Below are 24,858 nucleotides of genomic sequence, written 5' to 3' on the forward strand. Positions count from 1 at the left end.
TTTCTTATTGTGGCCTATGAGGCCCTTCAAGGTTTAGGCCTAACCTCTGCCTCCTCTTCCCACCCCACCCACTACATTCCTCTCTGAAACCCAGGGACTGACTGGGAAGGGATGGGAGACAACCTTCTGGAGTGATGGTGATGTTCTGATTCAAGATAAGGATTTTGGCGGCACGGGCCTGCACATTTGTCAGAATTCCTCTAACAATGTGCTTAAGTTTTGTGCATTTCAGCATATGTAAATTTTACCTGAAGAGGAGAAACTAAATAAATATGCTTTTCAACTTACTTTGAAATGCATTGAAAAGGCAAGAAGGAGTGATGGATAGATGGATGGAAAGGTGGGTAAATACTTGATAAAGCAAGTTGAGTAAGATGTTAATTAATTTAGAATCTAGGTGATGGGGCCAGGCACGGTGGCTCATGCCTGTAATCCCAGCACTTTGGGAGGCCAAGGCAGGCAGATGGCTTGAGTACAGGAGTTCGAGACCAGCCTGGGCAACAGGGCGAAATCCTATCTATCTCTACAAAAAAAAAATTAGCCAGGCGTGGTGGCACATGCCCCTAGTCCCAACTACTCAGGAGGCTGAGGTGGGAGGATCACCTGAGCCACAGAAGTCGAGGCTGAAGTGAGCCAAGATTGCACCACTACACTCCAGGCTGGGCTATGGGAGTGAGACCCTGTGTCCAAAGATAAAATAAAAATAGAGCTGGGCACGGTGGCTCACCCCTGTAATCCCAGCATTTTGGGAGGCCAAGGCGGATGAATCACTTGAGGCCAGGAGTTCAAGACCAGCCTGCCCAACATGGTGAAACCCCATCTCTACTAAAAATACAAAAATTAGCCAGGCGTGGTGGTGGGCACCTGTAATCCCAGCTACTCAGGAGGCTGAGGCAGGAGAATCGCTTGAACCTGGGAGGTGAAGGTTGCAGTGAGCCCAGATCACACCACTGCACTCCAGCCTGGGTGACAAAGTGAGACTCTGTCTCAAAAATAATAATAATAATCATACAAATAGAATCTAGGTGATGGGTATATATGAGTGTTCACTGTAAGATTATTTTAACTTCTCTATGTTTTAAATAATTCATTTTAAACATCTGTGCAAAAGTAAAAATAAAAATTTGGGAAAGTGTTGAGTCAGCAAAGGAATTTGGATTGGATTGATTGGTTGGAGGAACCAAGAAGAAATGAATTGCTCTGGGACTTTCCACAGAAACCACAACCGCTTCCCTGCAGCATAGAGCTGGCCTCCAGGAACAAACTGTGCCAGCTCTCAAGTCTCAGTTCTCCAGAAAGCCTGTCAGGAAAAAAGTGCAGAGAAGAGAAAGAGACAGCACCCTTGCTTCTCAGAAATCCTGTGATGAACAGATCTGCCTAACATCTGAAGTCATGCACTATTCATTCGACAAACTATAATTGAAACCCTCCTCTGTGCCCAGCCCTGAGATGTGTGTGTGGCACTGACAACATAGCCCCAGCCCTTCCCTCAGGAGACTCAAAGTCCAGGGGCAGAGACAGACACATCTTCCAGTGTTATGGTTTGGCTCCATGTCCCCACCCAAATCTCATCTCAAATTGTAATCCCCATGTGTGAGGGAATGACCTGGTGGGAGGTGATTGGATCATGGGGACGGTTTCTCACATGCTGTTTTTGTGCTGATGAGGGAGGTTTCACGAGATCTGTTGGTTTAAAAGTGGCAATTTCCGGCCGGGCGCGGTGGCTCACGCCTGTAATCCCAGCACTTTGGGAGGCCGAGGCGGGCGGATCACGAGGTCAGGAGATCGAGACCATCCCGGCTAAAACGGTGAAACCCCGTCTCTACTAAAAATACAAAAAATTAGCCGGGCGTAGTGGCGGGCGCCTGTAGTCCCAGCTACTTGGGAGGCTGAGGCAGGAGAATGGCGTGAATCCGGGAGGCGGAGCTTGCAGTGAGCCGAGATCCCGCCACTGCACTCCAGCCTGGGCGACAGAGCGAGACTCTGTCTCAAAAAAAAAAAAAAAAAAAAAAAAAAGTGGCAATTTCCTTTGCTCTCTCTCTCTCTCTCTCTGTCTCTCTCTCTCTTTCTCTGCTGCCGCCATGTAAGACATGCCTTACTTCCCATTGACCTTCTGCCATAATTGTAAGTTTCCTGAGTCCTCCTCAGCCATGCAGAATTGTGAGTCAATTAAACCTCTTTTCAGTCCAGGCGCAGTGGCTCAAACCTGTACTCCCAGCACTTTGGGAGGCCAAAGCAGGCAGATCATCTGAGGTCAGGAGTTCAAGACCATCCTGGCCAACATGGTGAAACCCCATCTCTCCTGAAAATGCAAAAATTAGCCAGGTATGGTGGCGGACACCTGTAACCTCAGCTACTTGGGAGGCTGAGGCAGGAGAATTGCTTGAACCCGGGAGGTGGAGGTTACACTGAGCCAACTTCTCTCTACTGCACTCTAGCCTGGACAACAGAGTAAGACCTTATATTAAAAAAAATAATAATAAATAAAGGCCAGGCATGATGGCTCATGTCTGTAATCCCAGCATTTTGGGAGGCCGAGCCAGGCAGATCATGAGGTCAGGAGTTCAAGATCAGCCTGACCAACATGGTGAAACCCTGTCTCTACTAAAAAATACAGAAATTAGCTGGGCATGGTGGCACACGCCTGTAATCCCAGCTACTCAGGAGGCTGAGGCAGGAGAATCACTTGAATCCGGGAGGCGGAGGTTTCAATGAGCCGAGATTGTGCCACTGCACTCCAGCCTGGGCAACAGAGCAAGACTGTGTCTCAAAAAAAATAATAAATTAAAAAAATAAAAACCTCTTTTCTTTATCAATTACCCAGCCTCAGGTAGAATCTTTATAGCAATGTGAGACCAGACCAATACATCCAGATAGCAACAATCCCAAGTGATCAAAACAATAATGGGGGAAGCCCCAAATGAGGCATGTGACCCAGACTGGTGGTCAGGAAAGATACCTGATGGAGAGGACATCCAAGCTAAGTCTTAAAGAAAGAGTAGGTGTCACCAGGTAGAGACGGAAGGACAATGGAAAAGCATTCCAGGCAGAAGGAACAGCAACTGCAAAGGTCTGGGAGTGAGCAGAAGAGTTTGATGCTCAAACTTTTCTGAACTGAACTTTTCTGAACTGAAAAGTTCAGTGTCATTGGAATGTGAAAGGAAGCAGAGGGTAGGGAGGGGTTAAAGGCAAGCATGCAGCAGTCACCAGTTCCTGTGTGGGCTTGTAAGCCATGGTAGGGCATTGGAATCTTACCCTGCGAGTGCTGGGGAGTCACAACAGGGTTATAGTCAGTAGGAGGACTTCACCAGTTTGTAAATGATTCCAATTGCAAAACAAGGGAAGGAGATGAGGGAATGTATCGGTCAGGATTGGCTAAGTTATGCTGCAGTGACAAACAGCTCCAGAATTCAGTGACTCAAAACAACAAAGGTTGGCTGGGTGCAGTGGCTTACGTCTGGAATCCCAGAACTTTCAGAGGCCAAGGAGGGAGAAGTGCTTGAGGCCAGGAGTTCAAGACCAGCCTGAGCAACATAGTGAGATTCCATCTCTTCAAAAAAAACTTTTAAAAATTACCTGGGCACGGTGTGCACACCTGTAGTCCCATCTACTCAGAAGCCTGAGACAGGAGGATCTCTTGAGCCCAGGAGTTCAAGGTTACCATGAGCCGTGATCGCACCACTGCACTCCAGCCTGGGTGACAAAGCAAGAACCCATCTCAAAAGAAAAATAAATAAATTTTAAAAATAAATTTTCTGGCCAGGCACGGTGGTGCATGATTGTAATCCCAGCACTTTGAAAGGCCGAGGTGGGAGAATCTTTTGAGCTCGGAAGCTCGAGACCAGCCTGGGTAACATGGCAAAACCCCATCTCTACAAAAAAAAATACAAAAATTAGCCAGGTATGGTGGAACATGCCTGTAGTCCCAGCTACTCAGGAGGCTGGGGTGGGAGGATTGCTTGAGCCCAGGAGGTGGAGGCTGCAGTGAGCTGTGATCGTACCAGTGTACTCCAGCCTGGGTGACAGAACGAGAACATGTCTCAAAAAAAAATTTTTTTTCTAGCAACCACATTTTTTAATTTAGTTATTTTTGAGACGGAGTCTCGCTCTTGTCACCCAGGCTGGAGTGCAATGGTGCAATCTTGACTCATTGCAATCTCTGCCTCCCAGGTTCAAGCAATTCTCCTGCCTCAGCCTTCCAAGTAGCTGGGATTACAGGTGCACACCACCGCGCCTGGCTAATTTTTGTATTTTAGTAGAGACCGGGTTTCACCATGTTGGGCAGGCTGGTCTCGAACTCCTGACCTCAAGTGATCCAACTGCCTCAGCCTCCCAAAGTGCTGGGATTACAGGTGTGAGCCACCACACCCAGCCATTGCCATTTTATAGATGAGAAAACTGAGGCACAGAAAGATGATGGGGCTTGTCCAAAGTCACGAGCTAGAGCAGGAGCAGGGATTTGAACCCCAGCCATCGGGCTCCTTGCAAGGAGAGCAGAGATGGGTTCCTACATGGTCATTCCTTGGGCTGGGTGAGTGTGAGCCCTTGGTGGTCCAATCCTACTCCCCCCAGAGGTCTCAGTAAAGAGAGAATGCTAGTGATTCTTGAGAATACTGAAGGGAAAACCCACAGTTGGTCCCAAGAACGACGGTGTGGGTGGAAGTGAAGAGATGTGGGAAAAGATTTTCCTCTTTCTTGCCCCAGATTGCCAGGGAGTTGGAAAAATCCCCTTGCACTATGGGCTATAGACTAGTGGCTGTCACTGCTACTGGATTCTTCATCACTGGAAAAGCAGAAAGTTGGGGTGAGTTCCCTGTGAAGTCCCAGACCAGGAGAATGGATGTAGGAGGAGGGCCTCTCTTTGTTCTTGTTTTTTGTTTGTTTGGTTTGGTTTGGTTTTTGTGGGGTTTTTTGTTTTGTTTTGTTTCTGAGACAAGGTCTTGCTCTGTCACCCAGGCTGGAGTGCAATGTCATGATCAGAGCTCACTGCAGCCTCAACCTCCCGGGGATCAAGCGATCCTCCCACCCCAGCCTCCTGAGTAGCTGGGATTACAGGCGCGTGCCACCACACGCCTGGCTAACTTTTGTACTTTTTTTAGAGACGAGGTTTCACCATGTTGTCCAGACTGGTCTAGAACTCCTGGGCTCAAGCTATCCTCCCACCTCGGCCTCCCAAAGTGCTAGAATTACAGGTGTGAGCCACCGTGCCCGGCCAGGAGAGCCTCTCTTCAACAAGCATCTCCAGTGTGCCAGGCTCTGGAAGGAGAACTCTAGTCTCTCATTTTATGACCCTCCCTTTCCAAATGGGGAAACTGAGGCTCAGAGGAGACATGTGACTCATCCAACATCACACAGAGGGGAAGGATGGAAAAGTTTCCTCCCACCCCCATCCCATGGCCACCCAATTCCCTTTCCAGAGGCAATGGTATTTATTGCCTTGTGGGTATTTCTTGACATGTTCTAGGCATATACAAGCATTTACACACAGATTTTTTTTTTTACACAATAGTGGTACACTGTTCTGTATCTTATCTTTCATTTTACTTAACATTATTTTCAAGATCTTTCCACATTAATACAAATAGATGTGCCTGGTTTTATTTATTTTATTTAATTAATTTATTTTTGAGACAGAGTCTCACTCTGTCACCTAGGCTAGAGTGCAGTGGCGTGATCTTGGCTCACTGCAACCTCCACCTCCTGGGTTCAAGCAATTCTCCTGCCTTGCCTCCCAAGTAGCTGGGATTACAGGCACCCACCACCACGCCCAGCTACTTTTTGTATTTTTAGTAGAGAGGGGGTTTCGCCATGTTGGCCAGGATGGTCTTGAACTCCTGACCTCAGGTGATCCACCCGCCTCGGCCTCCCAAAGTGCTGGGATTACAAGCGTGAACCACTGCACCTAGCTCATTTTATTTTTATAATGCCCATAAAGCATCAAACTGTGTGAGCACACCATCATAAGCATAACCAGTTCCCTCCTGATAAACATTTAGGTTATTCCTAATGTTTTGTTATTCCAAACACTACTGCAATTAACATCCTGGAGCAGACCTGACATCAGCCTCAGGCGTCCATGTCTACATGTGAGATAAATTCCTGAGAGAAAAACCTGCCAAGTCAGAAGCGATCTGCATTTGTCATTTAGAAAGACGTTTCCAAATTGCACCCCAATTTCCCTCCCCTGCAACTGATTGACCAACCATTTCTCAAAAGGGCTTTTTGAGCACTCTCTCTCTCTCTCTCTCTTGCTGTCTCTGTATTTTTTTAATGTTTGACAGCAAGAAGATAGTCATGTCTTGCTTATGTAATTAAAATTAAACAAGCCCTTCGTTAAAAACACACAAACCCAGGAAGAAGAGAAACCAGCAAGGCCAGTTCAGGCAGATCCACCCTGCCCCTTGTCACACCTGCCTTGTCCCCAGCAAGCCCTGAAAAAGAGGCTGAAATCAATTTCTCACACATGGACCTCAGACATCAAACCTTGGAAAAAATACAGGAAAGAGATTTTGTAACTTTCCCCCTCTGTGGCTTTTCGTACGGCTAAACCCTCTCACTCTCTCTTCCCTTTCTTTCTCCTCGTCCTTTTTCTTCTTTCTCTCACTTCTGTTTTGGTGAGCTGTCATTAAAAACACTTTAAAGCCGTGTCCAGTCTAATAAGTTATACAGAATCTGGCTGTGTGTGTGTGTGTGTGTGTGTGTGTGTGTGTGTGTGTCTGTGTGTGAGAGAGAGAGAAAGAGAGAGAGACAGAGTCTCACTCTGTCGCCCAGGCTGGAGTGCAGTGGTACAATCACAGCTCACTGCAGCCTCCGCCTTCCGGGTTCAAGTGATTCTCCTGCCTCAGCCTCCCAAGTAGCTGGGATTGTAGGCGCGCACCACCAAGCCTGGCTGATTTTTTTTTTTTTTTTTTGAGACAGAGTCTCACTCTGTCACCCAAGTTGGAGTGCAATGGCACAATCTTGGCTCACTGCAAGCTCCGCCTCCCAGGTTCAAACGATTCTTCTGCCTCAGCCTCCTGAGTAGCTGGGACTACAGGAGTCCGCCACCACGTCCAGCTAATTTTTGTATTTTTAGTAGAGACAGGGTTTTACCATATTGGCCAGACTGGTCTTGAACTCCTGACCTAAGGTGATCCGCCCGCCTCGACCTCCCAAAGTGCTGGGATTACAGGCGTGAGCCACCATGCCCAGCCGATTTTGTTGCATTTTTAGTAGAGATGGGGTTTCGCCATATTGGCCAGACTGGTCTCGAACTCCTCACCTAAGGTGATCCGCCCGCCTCGACTTCCCAAAGTGCTGTGATTACAGGCGTGAGCCACCATGCCCAGCCGATTTTGTTGCATTTTTAGTAGAGATGGGGTTTCGCCATATTGGCCAGACTGGTCTCAAACTCCTGACTTCAAGAGATCCACCCGCCTCGGCCTCACAAAATGTTGCGATTATGGGTATGAGCCACCACACCTGGCCAGAATCTGGTATTTTTAACAGAAAGCAGAGCTAGGAGCTTAAAAGTAGAAACTAGATGAGCAAAACAATTGATTATATTTGAAACACATTAAGCTCTTCTTTTCTCTTCTCCTCCTGAACACAAGCAAGTAACTGTCTGGAAGGAGGTTGGAGGGGTTGCGGTGGGGGAGCGGGAGTCTCAGGGCCCATAATGGGTTTCAGAGGCCAAGATGGATAAGGAGGTCATCCTCCCAAGAAGATGGGAAGGCTGGACAGTGACAGCTGCAAAAGATTGGTTACTTTCAGGGGGATGGATCCGCTAAGTAAATATATTGCCAGCCTGGCCAACATAGCGAATTCCCATCTCTACTAAAAATACAAAAATTAGCCGGGCGTGGTGGTGTGCACCTGTAGTCCCAGCTACTCGAGAGGCTGAGGCAGGAGAATTGCTTGAACCTGGGAGGCAGAAGTTGCAGTGAGCCAAGATCACGCCACTGCACTCCAGCCTGGGCAACAGAGTGAGACTCCATCTCAAACAACAACAAAAAAAAGCATTGGAAGCCAGATTTCTTTTTTTTGAGACAGTGTCTTGCTTTGTCACCCAGGCTGGAGTGCAGTGGCACCATCATGGTTCACTGCAACCTCGGCCTCCAGGGTTCAAGCGATCCTCCCACCTCAGCATCCCCAAGTAGCTGGGACTACAGGCACGTGCCACCACACCTGGCTAATTTTTAATGTATTTTTCTTAGAGACGAGGTTGCCCAGGATGGTCTTAAATTCCTGGACTCAAGGGATCCGCCTGCCTCAGCCTCCCAAAATGCTGGGATTACAAGCATGAGCCACCACGCCCAGCTGAGTGGTAGGGATTTTGAGCTGGGGTGAATGGCGATTGTAGGTCATTTGCATTTTTAATCGGCTTTACCCAGAAGAGAAGGCAACTTTCTTCTGTCTTCATGACAGGAGGTATTTTACAACTGAGAGCTGAGTCATGTACCAAAGTTAGGCTCTCACCTTCCTGGGGGGAGATAGGAGTGCTATTTCCTTTTATGTTTACAATTTCAAAAAGATAGTTTCCTGGGTCCTGGTCACTCATCCCTGTAATCCCAGCATTTTGAGAAGCCAAGGCAGGAAGATAGCTTGACCCCAGTTCAAGATCAGCCTGGGCAACATAGTGAGACTCCATTTCCTGGGCTATCAACTGGCAAGATACTTTTTTTTTCTTTTTTTTTTTGTGACAGAGTGTCATTTTGTCGCCCCCAGGCTGAAGTGCAATGGCGTGATCTTGGCTCGCTGCAACCTCCGCCTCCCAGGTTGAAGCGATTCTCATGCCTCAGCCTCCTGAGTAGCTGGGATTACAGGCACTTGCCACCACACCTGGCTAATTTCTGTATTTTTAGTAGAGACGGGGTTTCAACATGTTGGTCAGGCTGGTCTTGAACTCCTGACCTCGTGATCCACCCGCCTTGGCCTCCCAAAGTACTGGGATTACGGGCGTGAGCCACCGCGCCCGGCCAAGACTTTTAAAGAGGTTTATATCCATCTCAAATGGACAAAGAAATAATTTACAATGACAAGTTTTCTCAAGTAAATGCTCTAAGAAAAGGGAGGTAAGGGGCCTCTGTGGTTAGACCCTCTGGATTCTGAGGGCCTAGAGGCAGGAGGAAGCCTGTCTAAAGTTTAGTCAAGCTGAGGGAAACATTATGGCAGTGTTGGTACACTCTGTAAAGCTGACCTGCCCGTGTTCAAATCCGAGCTCCACTGCTTAATAGCTGAGTGACGTGGGGCAAGTTTCTTAACCTCTCTAGCCCTGATTTCCCCATCTTGTAAAATGCAGGTGATTAACACTTACTTCATAGGATGGTTTTGTAGATTAAATATATTAATCCAAGTACAGCACTTAATACAGTACCTGGCACATAATCAATGTATTATTTGCTGTGGGTAATTACTTCATCATTCTGAGCCTCAGTTTCCCCAATCATCCCATCTGAAAATATGTGGAAAAGTCAATGAGATGATGGCTGTAAACTGATAGCATAGACTTGGCATCTAGTAAGACTGTCTTTAATCACTAACACAGCTGGGCACGGTGCCTCACATCTGTAATCCCAGCACTTGAGAGACAGAGGCAGGAGGATCATCTGAGCCCAGGAGTTCGAGACCAGCCTGGGTAACATAGTGAGACGCCAATCTCTACAATACAAATAAAAGTTAAATTAAAATTTAAAAATCTCTGCCGGGCATGGTGACTCACGCCTGTAATCCCAGCACTTTGGGAGGCCAAGGTGGGTGGATCACCTGAGGTCAGGAGTTTGAGACCAGCCTGACCAACATGGAGAAACCCCATCTCTACTAAAAATATAAAATTAGCCAAGCATGGTGGCACATGCCTGTAATCCCAGCTACTCGGGAGGCTGAGGCAGGAGAATCGCTTGAACCTGGGAGGGGAGGTTGTGGCGAGCTGAGATTGTGCCATTGCACTCCAGCCTGGGTAACAAGAGCAAAACTCCATTTCAAAAAAAAAAAAAAAGAAAAATCATTAATACTCCCAACACTACATTTACCATCACTGATGTTTCCCTCTATACATGTATTGCAATATATGTGTTTCAGAATAAGAGCTCATACTCTTATTGATGTTCTATTTTGTTGCTATTCTCCTTATTTGCTATTGTTTTGTTGTTACCTCACACTACTCCCCATTATCAATAGTAATATTGGCTATCAATAGCAATATTGGCAATATACTGTTATGATCTCACTATTCCCCACATCTGATCCTCCTCCCATCAAGCAGTCGCAAAGCCTACCAGGAACTCTCTCATTCCCAAACCAGGCTTTTCCCCTCCAGTGCCTCTAGGGCCAGGCCTTCATCTGATTGGAAGGAGATGGAGGTGGGGCTCAAGCCCCAGGTCCCCAACATCAAGCAAAGACCAACAGCAGCACCCCCGGGTCCTACAGACAAGTGGGACACAGTAGGTAAGCCCAGTTAATGACTTTTTTTTTTGAGACGGAGTTTCACTCTTTGCCCACGCTGGAGTGCAGTGGCGTGATCTCGGCTCACCGCAACCTCCACCTCTTGGGTTCAAGCGATTCTCCCGCCTCAGCCTCCCGAGTAGCTGGGATTACAGGCATGTGCCACCATGCCCAGCTAATTTTGTATTTTTAGTAGAGACAGGGTTTCTCCATGTTGGTCAGGCTGGTCTCGGACTCCAGACCTCAGGTGATCCAGCTGCCTCTGCCTCCCAAAGTGCTGGCATTACAGGCATGAGCCACTGCACCCAGGCTTAATGACTCTTAGTAAACCAGATGAAGCCGGGTGCAGTGGCTCCTGCCTGTAATCCCAACACTTTGGGAGTCCAAGGCAGGAGGACTGGGCATCATAGCAAGACCTCATCTCTACAAAAAATAAAATTAGCCAAGTATGATGGGATAAGCCTGTAGTCCCAGCTACTTGGGAGCCTGAGGCAGGAGTTAGAGGTTGCAGTGAGCTATGATTGGGCCACTGCAGTCCAGTTTGGGTGAACAGAGACCCCGTCTCTAAAACAATGCAGACGGCTGGCTGGATGACAAGGCGGGTGGAGCCTAGGGAGGGTACATAAACTCATTAGACAAAGCTCTCTATTCCCTGGCATTGCTAAAAGCCCCATTCGCCCCTCCATGCTGCTTAATGGTTTCGCCCGGTCTCCCCCTCACCAGTGGGACCACCCACATGCAGGATAGACCCAGGAGATTAAAGTTCAACCGTGACTTCCCCCAGGACTGCGGCTCTAGGTCCCATATCTCTCCCGTTAAAGGCTTTATGATGCCCACCCTAGCTCAGCTAGAGCGGTTATTGCGAGAAACAAGGTGGAAGTGACTCCTTTAAAGCACTATACAAAGTAATTAAATCTTTATTGAGGCATTTATGTGCCAGAAACTGATCACACACAGACATAAGGCACGGTCCCTGCCCTCGAGGAGCTCACAGTCTAGTAAGGAAGACATATGGGGAACCGATTCCCCAAAGATGCGGGGAGTAGGGGAGGCAGTGCTTAGAGTGGGGAGCCATTGTCCCACCCACCCCACGCTCCAAAGTCCAGGCTGGCTAGGAGAAAGTGAGTAGGAAGCTTAGCATCCTCTCTCTCACCTTCCCCGTGACAGCTGACTTCTCTCACTCTGTCCTAACATCACAAGAGGACAAGCGGAGAGACAAGGATGAGAAGGATACAGGAGCTGTCCTCAAAAAGCTAGAACACCCCTGGCAGAATATATACAACGGTATTTTATTTCCCAAAGCCGCAAACCAGCGCAGCAGAAGCTGGGGATACTGGGGAATGTTGGAAAAACAGGGGCTGGGCCAGCCCAGTCCAGTGGTGGGAACAGGAAGTGATGAGAAGAGGGGTACCCAGGGCCAGAGAAGTAGGTGAGAGGGAAATTTCCAGGTGGAGAAGCTCACAGTAGGACACCAGCAGCCACGGCCAACAGAAGGGCTGCCAATCCAGCTGTGGGAGCCACACAGCCTTTATTATGGGGCTGCTGGGGCCCCCCTTTTGCAGGATACTGCCCTGAATTGCTGCGGTCCTGGTGGCCAGCGGCGCCTCCAGTCAACCTGGGCTCCTCATCCCGGGAGGCCTCGTGTTCTACTCCCTGTCTCGGAGTCTGACTGGTTGGCGCTGGCATGGGTTTGGTGGTGGATGTGGGTCTCACTGGGGCCGAGGTAGAAGTGGTGACAGATGTGGTTGAGGCCACAGTCGTGGGCTCTGGAGGGGGCAGCCGGACAAGGGGTGGGATTCGAGGGGAGAAGTAGGTCTTGTTGCGGAGGTCAGAGTTACAGCGGGACCCCTGGCAACAGGAGCCACTGAGCGTGAACCCTGGGCCTGTTACTCCATCCCGAGTGCAGAATTCATCCTGGACACAGCCCCGGACAGGCAAGGACACAGTCACATTAGCTGCAGGAAGGAGACACAGATAGGTCAGTGGCTGGAGGGAGAGAGGTTGACATGGCCAGAACAAAACTTAGAGGCATCAGACAAGAACAGAGAACCTGACCGGGCGTGGTGGCTCACGCCTGTAATCCCAGCACTTTGGGAAGCCGAGGCAGGTGGATCACTGGGCAACAGAGTGAGACTCTGTCTTGCAAAAAAAAAAAAGAACAGAGAACCCCCAAAATGAGACAGAAAGTCTCTGCATCCATTAATCCCAAAATCTCAACTCAGGTCCTACTATGAGAAACAGACAGACTCACTGTCTTTGGCACATGGTGGATTAACATTTTCCATTGTGCTTTGAATGGAAATGTGTGTAGGCTGAACCAAAAGTAGGGTTTAAAACAAAGGCTTAGACTGAGATACAAGACCTCTCACAAGACCACAGTGCAGAACAAACTTCCTCTACAACCCTCTCACCATTATCCCCTTAGCCTTCACCCTGGCTTTTACCTCCCCATCAGAATTTACTCTTAGAGTCAGAGTTACATCTCCACACCAGGCTCAGTGGTTCACGGCTGTAATCCCAGCACTCTGGGAGACCTAGGCAGGGGGATCTCTTAGCCCAAGAGTTCAATACCAGCCTGGGTAACATGGCAAGACCCCACTGTTACCAAAAATAAAAGGAACCAGTCGTGGCGGTGCACCCTGTAGTCCCAGCTACTTGGGAGGCTGAGGCGGGAGGACTGCTTGAGCCCAAGAGGTAGAGGCTGCAGTGAGCTATGATTGCGCCACTACACTCCAGGCTAGGCGATAGAGCAAGATGCTGTCTTTAAAAAAAAATAGTAATAATAAAATAAAAAAGAACTACATCTTCCATAGCATAACTGGCAGGGGATGGGATTTGAAGAACTTCATTTTCCATGGTTACATTTCTCAATAGTCTGGGACAGGCGGGGGACCCCTTGAGTTTTAAGGGCTAAGAACTAGAGATTCCCCGCAGTGCCTGGGCAGAAGCTTAGAGGCTTAAATACCTCTTAAGTACCTGGCAGCCCTCTATGGAAATGCATTTCCCTCCAAAACACTCTGGGACAAAGCATCACTATCCCCACACTATTAATATGTTGGGGGAAGGGACTGCATTTTCCATGATGCCCTACGATACAAGCACCTAGGCCCCACGATTCCCAGAATGCGTCGCAGGTTAAGGAAACGCTTTGGGTAAAGGGCTCCCTACCGCCCAGGGTGCTTCAGAAGGGCTACCACAACTCCCGTAGGTCCCGTGCTCCGGGGCTCCCTCACCTGCCGTCAAGGTGACGTTGCCGTCGAAGCAGCCCTTGTAGACATGATCGCTGGCGTTGTAGCAGCTCACGACCGGCGGCGATGTACCCTGGCACGCCTCCCGGCTCAGGCCCACACAGCTGTAGCACTCCACGCCGTTGGGCGGGTATGCACTCTCATTACCTGCGAGGGGAGCCGAGAGGAAGAAAAGGTGTCGAAAGGGTTCGGGAACCGCAGCTCGTCCTCTAGCCCCGCCCCTAAGGCCTGGCCCCGGCACTATCGATGACCCCGCCTACTAGTAGCCCCGCCCCAGCGCGCAACCTCGCGGCGCCTACAGCCAGAAAGTCCCTCCTGCTGCCTCTTGGCCCCGCCCCAGAGTGTGACCCCACCCCCAGCCCAGGTCGAGTACTCCCGCCTCTGCCACGGCTCCACCTCTATCTTGGCAGGCCCGAATGTGGCTCCGCCCCCGCAGCTACGGCCCGGCCCCCACGGACCTGCCGGGTCGAGCGCCCGCGAGGTGAGGTTGAGCTTGGCGTTGCAGCGATCCTGAGCGCATTGCTGCAGCTGGATGAACGCCAGAAGCCCGTGAAGATCCAGGCCGCGGTCATTCTTGCCGGGGAGTCCCGAACCGCAACCCCGCACTGCCAGCGAGAATTGTCCGTGGACTAGGGAGAGGGACAAGGGCGGGATTAGCTGTGGGCGTGGTCTCAGATGGGGCGTGGCCCAGAGTTGGGTAGGGTCTGGGAGGGGCGGGGCCTCAAATAGGCCAACACCACAGGACCGACAGGCAGGAATTGGCGGATGGACGCCCCCAAAGAGCCGCTCAGAGCGGAAAGAACGACCGAAGCAGGGAGGAGCGGGGTCACGGAACGGGGGCGGAACCTCAAAGAGCTGAGTCGGAGGAGACAGCCTGGTTGACAGGCAGGGATGGGGAGGTCTCATTGGTGGAGCAGAAAAAGTGCATAGGACGTGACCTCGTTCCAAACCCGAGCTCTCCCCGTCCGCCCCACCCAGTTCTCAACTCTCTGCTCCTCGCGCTTGTAATTGTTAATAGAGAAGGCCTGGCCTGCAAGGCTGTGTCGTAGGGTCCCGGCCAGGCTGAAAGGGAGGGGTGGGGCCGCGTTAAAGGGGCGTGGCCAGATCCAGAAAGGACTATAAGGAGGCGGGGCTGGGCCGGAGGAGCCTGCAGTGGTGTGCGTGGCCCGGGGGTCCCCACTCACTGGTCTCCACCGCCCCCACGGCCTCGGTGCAGACGTCCACGCCCGGCGCGCACTTCACTGTCTTCATCTTGTTCGGGGAGCATCCGTCATCTGCTTTCTGCACGCAGCTGTAGCACTCCAGGGCCTGCGCTCCTGGGGGAGCGGAGCCGAATAGACCTGAGCCCTCCTTGCTAAAGCGTCCACCCCCAAGGAGAAATAGTCCTTCCCATGCCCTCTGTCCCGGGATTAGACAGTCTTATTGCACACACTTTTCCAGGGCAGGAGTAGGGAAAAGCTTTCCACAAATCTGGAAGCACGGGAATCACTGGACCCTTTTCCTTCACACCCACTATGCCAACTGTGGGCACATCCTTCCGACAGCCCTGTATGCCCACTGTAGGCGATCCCCGCCATGAAGCCCCTCATCCCGGGGTAGGAAGGATACCTCCTCACGGTTTTCTGCTCAGAATGAGAGAACTTTTCCCACAGTGTGTGGGAGAACTTTTCCCACAGTAGACTGTGCTCAGTGAGGGATCCCTTCCCACAGCCCCCTTCTGCTCAAATGAGAGAACACTACCCACAGCTTCTCTGCCCAGGACAGGGAACACTTTTTTCTTTTTTTCTTTTTTTCTTTTTTTTTTTTTTGAGACGGAGTCTCGCTCTGTCGCCAGGCTGGAGTGCAGTGGCGCAATCTCGGCTCACTGCAACCTCCCCTCCTGGATTCAAACGATTCTCCTGCCTCAGCCTCCCGAGTAGCTGGGACTACAGGCTCGCGCTACCGCGCCCAGCTAATTTTTGTATTTTTAGTAGAGACAGGGTTTCACCATGTTGGCCAGGCTGGTCTCGATCGTTTGACCTCATGATCCGCCTGCCTCGGCCTCCCAAAGTGCTGAGATTACAGGCATGAACCACCGCGCCCGGCCTAGGAACAGGGGACTTCTTTCTGCAGCTTCAGGATAGGAAAATTTTGCCCACAGCTCCCCTTGTCCGTGGTGGGGAACCCTTCCTACGGCCCATGGTGGAGGACCCTTCCCTCTGCCTCCCTTGCTTAGGATGGGGGAACTTTGCCCACAGTGCCCTCTGCTTATGTGGGGATCCTTCCCACAGCCTTCTCTGTACGGGGCCAGAGGAGCCTCCTCCCTAAGAGCCCCCACTCTACCCCCTCCACCTCTCCGGGCAGCAGACCCACCTCCGCGAAGCAGCAGCAGCAGCAGCCAGCCTGCAGTCCAGATCATGGCCTGGGCACCTGCTTTCCTGGCGGGGTCCATGGCTCCGTCCTGCTCCCTTGGCGTCCCCCCTGGATGTGCCGCCTCCGAGCTCGGGCCCTCTTACCTGAGCCCAGGATGAGTAACCTCGCCCCAGGCAACCCCAGCCTTGCCCAACCGGGCCAACTCAGCGTCGGCTGTGGGGCGGGGCCCCGCCCCTAGGCGCGTCATCCAAGGGAGAGCGGTCCCTGCCCTGTGAAGTTGCCAAGGAGGGAAAGGGTGGGAGCTGAGGTTCCCTGACAGCTCGCGGGAGAAAGTCTGTGTGTGTTTGGAGTGGGAGAGTAGTGGGGCTTAAAGACAGGCTGGGGCTACTCGACATTCAGTGTTCGGTAACTGTTAAATGAGCATCTACAGTGTGCCCGGCTTTGGTCTAGGTAATGCTGGAGATGAAGACAGAACCAGTGCCTGTCCTGGCAGAGCTCACAGTCTGATGGGGGAGACAGATGCTAATCAAATAATCGTACAAATTGGTGTTTACCAAAGAGACTAAGACACTGAAGGAAAAAGTGTAGTGATACAAGGAGATGTGCAGTCTAGAAGTGGGGGCTGGTCGGTGAGGGCTTCCTTGAGGTTATCTGAGATGCAACCTCAAGGGCATGCAGGATGTAGCCAGCTAGAGCAGGTCAAGAGAGGGACACAGCCCTTTACAAGCAGAGGGAACAGCACGTGGGAGCACCTGGAGGTAGGAGGTAGGATGGACCATTCAAACATGGAAAGGAGAGCAGTGCTCCTGAGCTCAGAAGTCCATGAGAGAAGGGCAGGAACTGAGATGAAAGAGTCAGGCAGAGGCCGAGACACTCAGGGCATCAGAGGCCCCGACAAGAGATTTGGATTAATTTTGAGAATAGTAGAGAACCTTTAAGAGGGTCTAAATGAGCTGGAGGACATAATAGATTTGCTTCCTAATATGATCAACCTGAGAAATAGTGCAGCTAGCCATCAAGAAGTAAATGGAGGCCGGGCGCGGTGGCTCATGCCTGTAATCCCAGCAATTTGGGAGGCCGAGCTGGGTGGATCACTTGAGATCAGGAGTTTGAGACCAGCCTGGGCAACATGGCGAAACCTCATCTCTATTAAAAAAAAATAATAAATTTAAAAAAATTAGCCAGGTGCAGTGGCGTGCACCTGCTGTCCCAGCTACTCGGAAGGGTAGGGCAGGAGAATCACTTGAGCCCAGGAGGTGGAGGTTGCAGTGAGCTGAGATCACGCCACTGCACTCCAGCCTGGGCAACAGAGTGAGACCCTGTCTCAAAAAAAAAAATTTAAAAATTTAAAAATTAAAAAAAAGTAAATGGATCTGAGAGTAGGATATATGATTTTAAAAAAGGAAAAAGAAAAAGAAGTGAATGGCAAAAGAGAGTGGTTGGTTCGGCCAATGGAATACTACACAGCAATAGAAAAGATCCAACACCTGATATATGCAGCAACATATCTCAAAAACTTTGTGTTGGGGCCAGGCACAGTGGCTCACACCTGTAATCCCAGCACTTTGAGACACCAAGGTGGGAGGATCACTTGAACCCAGGGGTTTTGAGACCAGGCTGTGCAACATAGTGAGATCCCATCTCATTTTATTTTAAAAAAAGAAAAAACTTGGTGTTGAGTTTAGAAAGCCTTAAACAAACAAACAAAACATACTGTGTAACTGAATATATATGAAGTTTCAGAACAGACAAAACTAACCAGTGGTGATAGAAATCAGAACACATGTTACCTTTGGGAGGGCATGGCCCCAGAAGGAGCAACAGGGAGGAGCCCCCACGATCTTCATCTAGGTGACAGCTGCATGTGTGTACAGATACGTTGAGAATCACTGACTCAGGCCTGTCACTGGACGTATGTTATTCTTCAATAAAAACAAGGTAAAGAATGTCACTGTGGACTCTGTGTAAAAAAGGAAAATGACTCTAGAAGGGGTGAGAGAGAAGGCCAGGAAACCAACAGGGGGCCGTGTAGTTTTCCATGGAAGAAAGAGAAAAACAGCCCCTAACAGCTGGGAGTTGGCCTGACACACATAGTGAGGCCATGGAGTTCAACTGCGCCTAGATAATTTCACAGAGCACCAACCTGGACAAGGCCACACTGCGACAGTAAAGGATCAAGAAACAAATCAATAGCCTGGGCAACACAGCGAAACCTCGTCTCTACTGAAAATACAAAAAATTAGCTGGGCGTGGGGGTGTGCACCTATAATCCCAGCTACTTGAGAGGCTGAGCTGGGAGAATCACCCGAGCCTGGGAGGTTGAGGCTGCAGTGAGCTGAGATTGCGACACTGCACTCCAGCTTGGGCAACCAGAGTGAGACCCTGTCTCAAAAAAACAAAAAACAAAGAAAAACAAAATCAAGACCAATCCATAGCCATGTCTGAACACAGAAACAAACAAGGTCATTGTGCAAACCGCAGAATGACTAAGCATCCCCATATCCTGGCTAATATAAATGACTGCTTATATTATATTAAAGTTACAACTTTAACCTCACTTTATTTCTCCTGCCTCATAAATGAGATTTATGCAAATGCCCAACCACAGCATTACTCCTCCTCTGTTTAACAGTATCCAAACTAGAACGAGGTCCCACTTCCTTGCACCATTCCCAAGACCACCACACACAAGCCCAAATCTTAAAATCAATCCTTTCTGGCCAGGTGCTCACACCTGTAATCCCAGCACTTTGGGAGGCCAAGGGGGTGGATCACCTGAGCTCAAGAGTTCGAGACCAGACTGGCCAATGTGGTGAAACTCCGTCTCTACTAAAAATACAAAAAATTAGCTGGGTGTGGTGGCACACACCTGTAATCCCAGTTCCTGGGGAGTAGGGGCTGAGGCAGGAGAATCGCTGAACCTAGGAGGCAGAGGTTGCAGTGAGCCGAGATTTGCGCCACTGCCCTCCAACCTGGGTGACAGAGCAAGACTTTGACTCAAAAAAAAAAAAAATCAATCCTTTCTAACACCCTTTTACTTAGACACCTCACAGTTACCTCATGGTGTGTTTTCTCCCTCATTGCAAGAAGCAATAAACCCAACTTGTTCAACCACAGGTGTGTCCCTGGTGGAGAACATTGACACAGGCCAGAGCAGATGTACTTAGCCAAGGGTGTCCCAAAGGAAAGGTGAAGAGTGGAAAGATCTAAAATATTTTAGGAGGAAGAACAGGTAGGGATTACTGATGGATCCAATGTGAGGGAAGAGGAAGTGGGAGGTTTCCAAGCTAATTCCAGACAGTTCTTGCCATAAACCACATCATGACATTAATAACAATGGTAACAAAAGTCATAATAACAACAGTGACTGAGTATCAAGTGTTTGTTTCCCAGAAACTGTTTTGAACAGGGGGCATGCATTATCTCATTTAATCCTCACCTGTAAGTATGGTTATTAGCATTTATTAACCACTTACTCTGTGCTTAGCACTTTCTGTGAATCCTCTCTGAATGTCACGACAGCTCTGCAAAGAGAGAACTAAGTCTCATTTCACAGATGGGAAAACTGAGACTGGGAGAGGCTTGGAAGTGGCAGAACTGGGATTTGAATCCAGGGCTGTCTCCAAAGGCCCCCATGCCATTTGCCAAAGTCAGAGCCTGGCTTTAGGCCTGAGATTATATTTTGCAATGACCCTTAGTTTTACAGCCAGACAGGCATGCATTTGAATACCAACTCTGCCCCTAATCTGCTGTGTGACTTGATCAAGTGACTCCAATTCTTTGATGTTCAGAGGCTTCCTGTCTAAACAAAGACTATGACAAAAGCACATGCATTCAGTGCTTCCTCTGTGCCAGGCAACTTTCCACACCCTTTACACACAATCCTATGAGAGATTTCTATGATGGTCAATTTACAAATGGGGAAATCGAGGCAGGCATGGGGGGCTTAACAACTTGCTCAGGGTCACAAAGCTAGGAAGTCACAATGCTAGGAGACAGTATTTGAACTCAGGCAGTCTGGCTTAACTAACAGTACCTATAATTAGGTACATGGGTCCATTGGATATCAGCTGTGAAACTTTGACAATTACTTGGCCCCTGTGTGCCTCAGTGCCCTCATCCTCATCCATAAAATGAGGGTCTTAGTAGTACCCACATCATACTAGGTGCTATACTGCTAGGGCATCAATGTTATATATATGTGAAATACTATACTGCTAGGGCATCAATGTTAAATATATGTGAAATGATTAAAATAGGGTCAAATTCTAGGAGTTATGAAAGCATTAGTTTTTATTACTAATAATAGGTTAAGGGCCAAGCACAGTGGCTGGTGCCTGTAATCCCAGCATTTTGTGGGGGCTGAGGCGGGCAGATCACTTGAGCCCAGGAGTTTGAGACCAGCCTGGGCAACATAGTGAAACCCTATCTCTACAAAAAATACAAAAAGTAGCCAGGTGTGGTGGTGCACACCTGTAGATCCAACTACTCGGGAGGCCGAGGTGGAAGGATCGCATTGAGCCTGGGAGGTCAAGGCTGCAGTAAGTTGTGATCACGTCACTGTACTCCAGCCTGAGTCACAGAGTGAGACCCTGTCTCAATAATAATAATAATAAATAGATTGTTAGTATAACTATTATTATTAACAGCCCTCACTTCTTGAGCTCCAACCGTGTGCCACACAGGGTGGTCAGCTCTTATACAAGCAATCTTGCCTTGAATTCCTAACGAGGGGGTAGAGAGGAAGATCTCCTTCACAGAGGAAGACTCTGAGACCCAGAGAGAGGAAGGTATCTGTTCAAGTTCACACAGCAAGGGAAGCGGCAGAGTCAGATGTCAGACCCGGCTGCAGGGGGCTGGCTCACTGTCTGATGACGAGACAAGCAGCGGTCGTGTTTATAAAGATATTATCTGTTCTCCAGACCCTGTGAGGCACCCCCGTTCCCAACAATGACGAGCACTTCAGTCACCTGGGTGAGGTCACTTGGCATCATGCTGAAGCTGAGAGAGAGAAAGTGAATGACTTCTTGTGAAGTCATTCATTCAGCACTGTCCCCTTCCCCCTCCCTCCGCCCGCCTCCCAGCCTTGGAATCTCAGCCCTGATTCTTGCTTTGCTGTGTGATGCTGCATAAATGCTTTCATCTCTCTGAGCCTCCAAGGTGTCTTTTTTTTTTTTTTTTTTTTTGAGACGGAGTTTCACTCGTTTCCCAGGCTGGAGTGCAAATGGCGCAATCTCAGCTCACTGCAACCTCTGTCTCCCAGGTTCAAGCGATTCTTCTACCTCAGCCTCCCGAGTAGCTGGGATTACAGGCATCCACCACCACACTCAGCAAATTTTTTGTATTTTTAGTAGAGATGGAGTTTCGCCATGTTGGTCAGGCTGGTCTCAAACTCCCAACCTCAGGTGATCTGCCTGCCTCGGCCTCTCAAAGTGCTGGGATTACAGGCGTGAGCCACCATGCCGGGCCCAAAGTGTCTTTTTTATAATAAAAGAAGGACTATCTTTCATTGGTAGGGTAAGGCAGTGGGCAAAATATCAAGTCTGGAAGTGGACAGACACATTTTAATCCTATCTCTGCCACCCTCTTGCTGTGTAACCTCAAGCAACTCCATCTCCCTCTCTGAACTTCCCCTGAAAACCCCTACCTCCTGAAGGATAGAGCGGGGACCCAGTGAGTGACAGGCAGGGTGAGACTAGCATTATTATTGTGTGCTGCTCTGAAGCAGGAGGCCCTGCAGGTCCCAGCTGTGTGGGAGAGTTTCAGGGAGGAACCCCAACTGGCCAGACCAGAAGAACTAGCATCTCGGGAGGGAGTGGGACCCAGGGTGGAGAGGTACCTCTTGCTCAGGCCTGCCCAGATTCTAGGCGCTGACCCCCGCCTGGCCCATGACCAGAGAACAGAAGGAGGTTTGAATGCAGGGCACCACTTAAGCCTGCTGCGTGGTAGGTGGCTGGCTCTTCTGGGTCCTTTGCAGATTTTATGGCAGAGAATCTAGAATCTGGCTCAGGGGTCAGTGCGGAGGCAGCTGCCAGCAATACAGATCACTCCCAGGCCTCAGACAAGCCCAGGACCATATTCACTCTGGATTTCTCGTCTCCCTGTGGCAGACCAGGCTCTGACGCCAGTGAGGTTCCCAGCCTGACTCAGGCCCACTCCCTCTGGGACACACTGTTTGTGACAAGTTAGGGAAGGAGTGGAGTCAGGGATGGGGCTGACTGTATAATTTTCGGGCCCCAGTGCAAAATGAAATTTAGAGACCTGGTTCAAAACGCAGGAAAAGAGGCCGGGCACGGTGGCTCACGCCTGTAATCCCAGCACTTTGGGAGGCCGAGGTGGGAGGATCACCAGAAATTAGGAGTTCGAGACCAGACTGACCAACATGGTGAAACCCCATTTCTACTAAAAATACAAAAAATTAGCCAGGTGTGGTGGCGTGTGCCTGTAATCCTAGCTACTCCAGAGGCTGAGACAGGAGAATCGCTTGAACCCAGGAGGCGGAGGGTGCAGTGAGCTGAGATCGCACCATTGCACTCCAGCCTGGGCAACAAGAGCAAAACTCCATTCTCACCAAAAAAAAAAAAAAAAAAAAAAAAAAACAGGAAAGAGTGCTGTTAAAGGTACTAAAATAGAAACACTTTTTTTTCCTTTCTTCTGCCTCAATCTTTTTTTTTTTTTTTTTTTTGAGACAGTCTCACTCTGCCACCCAGGCTGGCATGCAGCTCACAGCTCACTGCAGCCTCTCTATCTCCCGGACTCAAGCAATCCTCCCACCTCAGCCTCCCAAGTAGCTGCCACTACAGGTGTGTGCCACCATGTCCAGCTAATTTTTAAATTTTTTTTTGTAGAAAAAGGGTCTTGTTATGTTGCCCAGGCTGGTCTCAAACTCCTGGGCTCAAGTGATCTTCCTGTCTCAGCCTCCCAAAATGCTAGGATTACGGGCATGAGGCACTGCACCTGGCCCTCAGCCTTTCTCTTGACCCCTCATGGTGTTTAATGTTATGTTCCCTTGGGCACAGAGATACTTGTGGGACCAGCACAGATCTTCAAAGGTGGCTAGGGACCCTGCCCCACAACGTGGGCAGCCTGGCTGGGTTCCCCATCCCACCAGATGCCCACCGCCATGTTCCACCCCAAGATACCATGAGGCACAGGTACCCAACCCTGATCTTCTTGTGGCGTGCCTGCAGCAGGAGTGGAGAGTGCCAGTGATCACGGGGCAGAGTTAAGAAGGGAACAGGCCAGGCACGGTGGCTCAAACCTGTATTCCCAGCATTTTGGGAGGCCCAGGCAGGCGGACCACTTGAGGTCAGGAGTTCCAGACCAGCCTGGCCAACATGGTGAAACCCTGTCTCTACTAAAAATTCAAAAATTAGCCGGGTGTGGTGGCCAGCGCCTAAAATCCCAGCTACTCAGGAGGCTGAGGCAGGAGAATCGCTTGAACCTGGGAGGCAGAGGTTGCAGTGAGCCGAGATCGCGCCACTGCACTCCAGCCTAGGTGACAGAGTAAGACTCCGTCTCAAGAAAAAAAAGAGGTGGGGACAGGAGTGGAAACTTGTCCCAGAGAGGTGAGGCTGCCTCATCATGCTTTCATTATCTCATTAGTCTTAGCTTACAAAACAGAAATTCAAAGATACATTTACGAATTTCTACACAGTGACCACAGAGCATTAAACCCAAGAGCAGGGCTCTTCTGAACACGGGGAGCTGTCGTCTACATTGGTCAGATGCCCATGAAGCGGGATTCAGTAAGGGACCCAGTTTGCAGAGGGGCTGGGGGATGAACTGATCCAAGAATCCAGATGTCACATACCTGAAGGTAGAGGCCAAGGGACACCTACAGTCCCAGAGGACCTAGGAATTTGGGTGTCTGCACTCCCGGGACTCAGAGCACTATATCTGGGTCCTCAAGGGAACTTTTTGAGGCAGGAAAGAGCTGTCTCCAGAATGACAGCCTAGAGTGCTCAAGTGGGGGACCCTGGAGGACTGTAGAGGCCCAGAACAGGCACCTGACCCAGCCTAGGGGTCAGGGAGAGCTTCTTGAAGGAACGGGCGCCGTAGATGAGACCTGAAGGATGAAGTCAGCCAAAGAGCTCTGCCTGCCTTGTTCATGACAGTCCCCAGCCCTTAGCATCACTTTCCCATCAGTTTATTCAACCACCAGATGTTCCCTCCGTACGCAGTATGCACCAGGCCCTCTGCTGTACCAAGGGTTCAGTGGTGACCAAGACAGCACTCACTCCCAGGCCAGAGCGGGAGACAGACTCAACAGCAGTGATGATCCCAGGTAGTGAAGGCCATGATGAGAGATGCACAGGATAGAATGATCAGGGCTGGGAATGGGGAGGCACAGGTGGAGCTGTCAGGGCTATAATGAAAAGCCCAGGGCCAGGAGCAGTGGCTCACGCCTGTAATTCCAACACTTTGGGAGGCCGAGACAGGCAGGTCGCTTGAGCCTGGGAGTTGGAGGCTAGCCTGGACTACATGGTGAAACCCCATCTCTACTAAAAATACAAAAAAAAGAAAGCCAGGCGTGGTGTGGTGGTGGGTGCCTGTAATCCCAGCTACTCGGGAGGCTGAGGCAGAAGAATCGTTTGAACCTGAGAGGTGGAGGTTGCAGTGAGCCGAGATTGCACCACTGCACTCCAGCCTGGGCGACAGACTGAGACTCAGTCTCAAAAAAAAAGAAAAGCCCAGAGGAAGCATCTGACCTGCCAGGACAATCAGGGAGGGCTTCCTGGAGAAAGAGACTTAATATAGGAACTAAAAGCTAAATGATGAGCAGGGCTTTTGTGGAATGGGGAGAGGTGCCTAAGCAAAGGGAACAGAACGTACA

General features: G+C 50.0%; 1 protein-coding gene across 1 annotated transcript, besides 4 other annotated features; it reads right to left on the bottom strand.

Moving 5' to 3' along the window:
* Nucleotides 1-11,316: 11,316 nt before the first annotated feature.
* LYPD3 (LY6/PLAUR domain containing 3) lies at nucleotides 11,317-16,138 on the bottom strand. The gene is made up of 5 exons (NM_014400.3): nucleotides 16,023-16,138; nucleotides 14,855-14,986; nucleotides 14,129-14,299; nucleotides 13,656-13,817; nucleotides 11,317-12,377 (listed from the first exon to the last, which is right to left on the bottom strand). The coding sequence occupies exons 1-5, from the start codon at nucleotides 16,099-16,101 to the stop codon at nucleotides 11,881-11,883; spliced, it is 1,041 nt and encodes a 346-aa protein (NP_055215.2). The 5' UTR covers nucleotides 16,102-16,138; the 3' UTR covers nucleotides 11,317-11,880.
* Nucleotides 13,667-13,726: an enhancer, noted in NCBI's record as "active region_14723". NCBI's record gives its function as "activates an Ori minimal core promoter by ATAC-STARR-seq in GM12878 lymphoblastoid cells {active_cell/tissue: GM12878}" and the evidence as "EXISTENCE:reporter gene assay evidence [ECO:0000049][PMID:35858748]".
* Nucleotides 13,757-13,806: an enhancer, noted in NCBI's record as "active region_14724". NCBI's record gives its function as "activates an Ori minimal core promoter by ATAC-STARR-seq in GM12878 lymphoblastoid cells {active_cell/tissue: GM12878}" and the evidence as "EXISTENCE:reporter gene assay evidence [ECO:0000049][PMID:35858748]".
* Nucleotides 13,957-14,116: a silencer, noted in NCBI's record as "silent region_10717". NCBI's record gives its function as "represses an Ori minimal core promoter by ATAC-STARR-seq in GM12878 lymphoblastoid cells {active_cell/tissue: GM12878}" and the evidence as "EXISTENCE:reporter gene assay evidence [ECO:0000049][PMID:35858748]".
* Nucleotides 14,359-14,890: an enhancer, noted in NCBI's record as "H3K4me1 hESC enhancer chr19:43967981-43968512 (GRCh37/hg19 assembly coordinates)". NCBI's record gives its function as "activates a minimal SCP1, AML or CMV promoter by ChIP-STARR-seq in naive H9 embryonic stem cells {active_cell/tissue: H9 hESC(naive)}" and the evidence as "EXISTENCE:reporter gene assay evidence [ECO:0000049][PMID:30033119]".
* Nucleotides 16,139-24,858: the final 8,720 nt, after the last annotated feature.

This window comes from Homo sapiens, chromosome 19, assembly GCF_000001405.40.
Source record: "Homo sapiens chromosome 19, GRCh38.p14 Primary Assembly".
Lineage (NCBI taxonomy): Eukaryota > Metazoa > Chordata > Mammalia > Primates > Hominidae > Homo > Homo sapiens.